The following is a 6,323-nucleotide window of genomic DNA, read 5'->3' on the forward strand; positions in this document are numbered from 1 at the left end:
ACTTCAACACCCTACTGTAAGCATAGATAGATTACCTAGACAGAAAATTAACAAGGAAGCATTGGATTTAAACTGGAATTAAGACCAAATAAACATGACAAACTTGGGTCAAATAAATGGGACTTCATCTTGTAATCATGTGAGCTAATTCTTAATAAACTCCCTTTTATATATACATATATCTTGTAGGATCTGTCTCTCTGGAGAACCCTGACTAATACAGCATGTCACTAAAAAACACCAACAAAATATAAGGAAAGGCAGTAAAGGAAGAATTTAGAGACAAAAAAGGTACAACACATAAAGAAAAGGATTAACAAAATAGCAAGTCTTTCTCTGTCAGTAATTACTTTCATGCACAAGAATTAAACTACTCAATCAAAATATACAGACTGCAAAATGAATAGATTGATATAGGCACTCCACAATGTAGGCATATATAAAAGCATCATGCTGTACACCATGAGTATATCTAATTTTTATTTGTCAATATAAAATGTAAAAAATCAAATTACATGTTGTATATAAGAGACCTACTTTATATCTAAGAAAGTGCACAGGGAGAAAGTAAAATAATGGAAGATATTTTATATAAATTGTAAGGAAAAAAGAGAGCCAAGATGGCTATATTCATATCAGACAAAGTAAACTGAAAACTGTAACAAAAGACAAGGAAGACATTACATAATGATAAAAAGCTCAATTTTTTGTAAAGACATAACAATTTTAAATATATATGCAGCAAATATCAGACCTCCTAAATACGTAAAACTTGACAGAATTAAAGGGAGAAATAGACAGCAACAAATAGTAGTCACGTTTTTTCTAATTTTTATTTTAAGTTCAAGGGTATATTTGCAGGTTTGTTATATGGGTAAACTTGTGTCATAGGGGTTTGTTGTACACATTATTTTATCACCCAAGTATTAAGATCAAGCCTAGTACCCATTAGTTACTTTTTTGGTTGATCCTATTGCTCCTCTCTCCCTCCATCCTCCAAAGGGCCCCAGTGTCTGTTCCAATTTTTATGTCCATGTGTTTTCATAATTTATCTCCCACTTATAAGTAAGAACATGTGGTATTTGTTTTTATGTTTCTGCATTAGTTTGCTAAGGATAATGGCCTCCAGATCAATTCATGTTCTACCAAAAGACATAATGTTGTTCTTTTTAATGGCTGCATTGTATTACATTGTGTATATGCACTACATTTTCTGTATTCAGTCTACCATTGATGGGCATTTAGGTCAATTCCATGTCTTTGCTATTGTGAATAAGGCTGCATAGACATGCAAGTGTCTTTGTTATGAAATGATTTATATTGGTTTGGTTATATACTCAGTAATGATATTGCTGGATCAAATGGTAGTTCTGTTTTTAGGTCTTTGAGGAATTATCACACTGTTTTTCACTATGGTTAAACTAATTTACACACCCACCAACATTGCATGAGCATTCTTTTTTCTCTGCAACCCCACTGTAGGGAGACCCCTGAAACTATTGCTATGGAATAAAAGATGAAATGCTCCTGATTACTGTAAATACAAAATTGCATGCAGGGTTGTGTAAAGACAATGCCAGGTTGGACTGCCAGAATGAGCCAACAGTTTGTGATGTGCTTCCCCCTGCAGAGAGCCTATGAACGGACATGCAGTCAGGGAGATTTCATATCACCAAGATTCCTATCCCAGAAAAGCAGACGTTCATAGCTCTGAGAATGGAATGCTACCCTTGTAGAGAGCCTATAAACGAATGCATGAGGGGCGCCTGTTCATATGGATAAGATAGGGATATAAATGCCTTCATCTTGCCACAGCTCTTCTAGGCCTCTTTAGGGTTAAGGCATACTCCCTTCTAAGAATTTCTGTTCTAACCGGTTGTCTAGCTTCACATCCTGTTTCTACGGATTGTTTGTAACCAGCTTTTGCTGCAACTGTTACTGCTGATTAATATCTTGCTAACCATAGGTTATAGAAAGACTATGTTTCTGTTTTAAGGCTCTGTTAGAAATTACTGATGCACACACTATATTGTAAATTCTTATCTCTGTATACTGTACTTCTGCATACAGATGTTATGTTAAAGAATTACTTCATCCCTATGTGACCATCTCACCTCATAATCAAATGACTCTAAATCCCTCACTAACCTACCCCCACCCTCACTAAACTTAATAATAAATGCTGGTATATGCAATGCATTGGTGGCATCATAGGACCAGAAGGCGGTGACACCCCCGGACCCAGTTTTCACTATCTTTTGTGTGTCTATTATTTCTCCACCTGCTGATCCACCTGGGGACAAAGAAAGAGCCCCATTGCATTGCAGGCTGCTGGCCAGATCCCGCAATATTTAAATATTTAATAATAGCTATTCTGAGTAGTCAGAGATATTTAAACCCCACTTTTAGTAATGGATTGAAAGACCAGACTCAATATCACTGAGAAAAGAGTATTTGAACAATGCTGTAGAGCAATTTGACCTAACAGACATATACAGAACATTCTACCCAACAGCAACAAAATAAACATACTTCTCAAATGCAAATGGAGCATTCTCTAGGATAGATCATACATTAGGCCATAAAAACTATTAACACATTTAAAAGACTAAACTTATAAAAGTATTTTGTGCCATCACCATGGAATAAAACTTAAAATCAATACTGGAAAGAAAATGGGAAAATCTATAAATATGTGGAGATTAGGCAAAACATGCTTAAACAAGCCATATGTCAGTTAAAAAATCAAAAGAGAAATTAGAAGTTATGTTGAGAAAAATGAAAATGATAACACAAATATCCAAATTTATTGGATAAAAAGAGAACAGTGCAAAAACAAAAGTTTTCCACTGTAAATGCTTGTTATAAATAAATATATATAACATATAAAATAATATATATATAAATTAAATAAGCACATTACATTAAACCTCAAATAACTAGAAATAAAAGAACAAATAAAACCCAAACTTAACAGAAGGATGGCAATAATAAAGATTAACATAGATGTAAACAAAGTAGAAAATCAAAAATAGAAGTAAAAAATATCTATAAAACTAAGAATTGTTTTGTTTCTTTACAAAATCAACAAGATTTACAAACCCTTGGCTAGATTAATTAATAAGGAAATGGATAGGAACCAAGAAACAAAAATCAGAAATGAAAGAGAGGGTATTACAAACAATAGAACATGTACAAACAGAATTATGAGAATAGTCTGAAAGATTGTTCACCAACAATTTTAGTAATCTAGACAAATTGATAAATTCCTAGAAACACACAACCTACAAACACTAAATGAGGAAATAGAATATTTGAAAAGACCAATAACTAATGAGGATATTGAAACAGTAATCAAAAACCTCTCAACAAAATAAAGCCCAGAACCTGATGAGTTTACTGGAAACTTTTATCAACCTTTTAAAGAAGAATTAATACCAATCATTTTCAATCTTACCAAAAGAATTCAACAGTAATGAAAATGCCAAAACTTACTCTATAAAGCCAGCATTACCTTACTACCAAAAGCAAACAGGCTGGGCATGGTGAGTTATGCCTGTAGTCATAGCACTTTGGGAGGCTAAGGAGGGAAGATTGCTTGAAGCCAGGAGTTCATGACCAGCCTGGGCAACATAGCAAGATCCTGTCTTTATAAAAAATTAAAATATAATAACTGGTCATGGTGGTGCATGCTGGCAGTCACAGCTAATCAGGAGGCTGAGGTAGGAGGATCCCTTGAGCCAAGGAGTTTGAGCCTGCAGTGAGCTGTAATCATGCCACTGCACTCAAGCCTGTCTGACAGAGTGAGACCCCATCTTTCAAAGACATAATGCAAATGAAAACACTAAAAGAAAAAAGGACTACAAATTCATATTTCTGATGAATGTTATTGTAAAAATCCTCAATAAAATACTAGCAAACTATATTCAATAGCACATTAAATGATTGTAAACCATGACCAAATAGAATTTATTCCCAGAGTACAAGGATGGCTCAACATAAAAACCAATTAATCTAATATAACTCTTTAACAAAATAAAGGCCCAAAACATTGTAATCATTATGATCATTATAATTAAGACAGAAAAATCACTTGACAAATTCTACATCATTTCATGATAAAAACACTCAACAAATTAAGTAGGCATTTTTGTGTTTCCATAACTGACATCTGATGCAGACTTCATTCTCTCCCCCTCTTCTACCCTCCTCTTTTCCCTCTTTTCATACTCTTGGCTCTAATAAATGGATGGTTTTCAAAAAAAACAAAACAAAAAACAAAATAATACAAACAAACAAACAAAAAACACTCAACAAATTAGGGATAAAAGGGAACTACCAGAGCATTATATAAGTCATTTATGAAAATCCCATATTCAGTATTACATTCAATGCCAAAAGACCAAATATTTTTCCTCTCAGATCAGGAACAAATCAAGGATGCCTTATTTTGCTACTTCTATTCAACATAGTACTGAAGTGCTAGTCAGAGCAATTAGGAAAAATAAAGAAATAAAAGGCCTTCCAAAGTGGAAATGCAAAAGAATCATTACTTCTGCTCACAGATGATAAGATTTGTTGTATTTAAAATGGTAAAGATTCTACAAAATACTGTTAGAAATAATAAAACGGCAAGGTTGCAAAATAAAAAAATCTTCAGAGAAAAATAAGTTACATTTCTATTAGTTAACAATAAGAAATCTAAAAATAAAATTAAGAAGACAATTATGATACAGTTTGGATATTTGTTCCCACCCAATCTTATGTTAAAATGTTAAAATATAATCTCCAGTATTGGAGGTTGGGCCCGGTGGGAGGTGTTTGGGTCATTGGGATGGATCTCTCCTGGCTTGGTTCTTCCCTCACAATAGTGAGTTCTCATGAGATCTGGTGTTTTAAAAGTATGGCATCTTCCCCCACTGCCTTGCTCCTACTATGGCCATGTGATGTGCCTGTTCCAGCTTCACCTTTGTCCATGCATCAAAGCTTCCTGAGGCCTCCCCAGTGGCTGAGTAGAAGCCAGCACCATGTTTATACAGCCTGCAAAACCATGAGCCAATTAAACCTCTTTTTTAAAAAATAAAATACCCAATCTCAGGTATTTATAACAACACAAGAATGGCCTAACACAGAAAATTGGAACAGATGTGTAGGGCATTGTTATAAAGACATCAGAAAATGTGAAAGTGATTTTAAAACTGGGTAGTGAGAAGATGTTGGAAGAGTTTCGAGGGTTCAGAAGAAGACAGGAAGATGTGGGAAAGTTTGCAATTTCTTAAAGACTGGTTAAATGGTTGTGACTCAAATGCTGACAATGATACAGACAGAGTAGTCCAGGCTGACGAGTTCTTAAATGGAAATGAGGGACCTAAAAAGAAATGGAGCAAAGGTCACCCTTGTTATGCCTTAGCAAAGAAGTTGGCTAAATTGTGTGCATGCACTGGGGAAATGTGGAAGTTTGAACTTCAGAGTGATAATTTAGGGTATCTGGTGAAGAAAATTTCTAATTATCAAAATGTATAATAAGTAACATGGCTGCTCCTAACAGTCTATGCTCAGATGCAGGAGCGAACAAATGTTCTAAAGTTGGCACCTATATTTAAAAGGGAAGCAGAATATATAAGTTTGGAAAATTTACAGCCTGGCCTTGTGGCAAAGAAAAAACAAAGTATTGTCAGGGGAAAAATCCAAGGAGGCTGTGAAGCAACCATTTACTAGATAAATTTGCATAACTGAAAGGGAGTCAAGCGCTAATAGTCAAGACAATGGGAAAGAGGCCTCCAAAGCGTTTTAGGGATCTTCTAGGCAGCCTGCTGCATCATAGGCCCTGAGGCTTAGGAAGACTGAATGGTTTCAGGGGCCAGGCCCAGTGCACCACTGCACCACAGCCCTGCCCCACCCCAGGAGACTGTTACTCCCATCATGGCCACTCAAACTCCAGCTGTGGGTAAGCCAGACCCAGGTTCAACTCAGGTCTCAAGTCTGGAGTGCAAGCAATAAGCCTTGGCAGCTTTCACATGGTTTTAAGCCTGTGGGAACACACAGTGCAAGAGTGAAAGAAGCTTGGTAATCTCTACTTACATTTCAGAGGATGTATGAGAAAGCCTGATTTCCTAGGTAGAAGTCTGCTGCAGAGGCAGAGCCCTCACAGAGAACTTCTACTAGGGCAGTACAGAGGAGAAATGTGGGGTTGGAGCCCCCACAGAGAGTCACCACTGGGGCACATTCTAGTGGATCTGTGGGAGTAGGACCACTGCCCTCTAGACCTCAGAATGGTAGATCCACTGGCAGTGTGCCTAGAGAGCCACAATTACTCAACTCCA

The 6,323-nt window shown here is 36.0% G+C and overlaps 1 annotated feature.

Annotated features, from left to right (window-relative positions):
• Positions 5,462 to 6,097: an enhancer, noted in NCBI's record as "NANOG hESC enhancer chrX:80820164-80820799 (GRCh37/hg19 assembly coordinates)". NCBI's record gives its function as "activates a minimal SCP1, AML or CMV promoter by ChIP-STARR-seq in naive H9 embryonic stem cells {active_cell/tissue: H9 hESC(naive)}" and the evidence as "EXISTENCE:reporter gene assay evidence [ECO:0000049][PMID:30033119]".

The sequence above is a fragment of the Homo sapiens genome, chromosome X, assembly GCF_000001405.40.
Source record: "Homo sapiens chromosome X, GRCh38.p14 Primary Assembly".
Taxonomy (NCBI): Eukaryota; Metazoa; Chordata; class Mammalia; order Primates; family Hominidae; genus Homo; species Homo sapiens.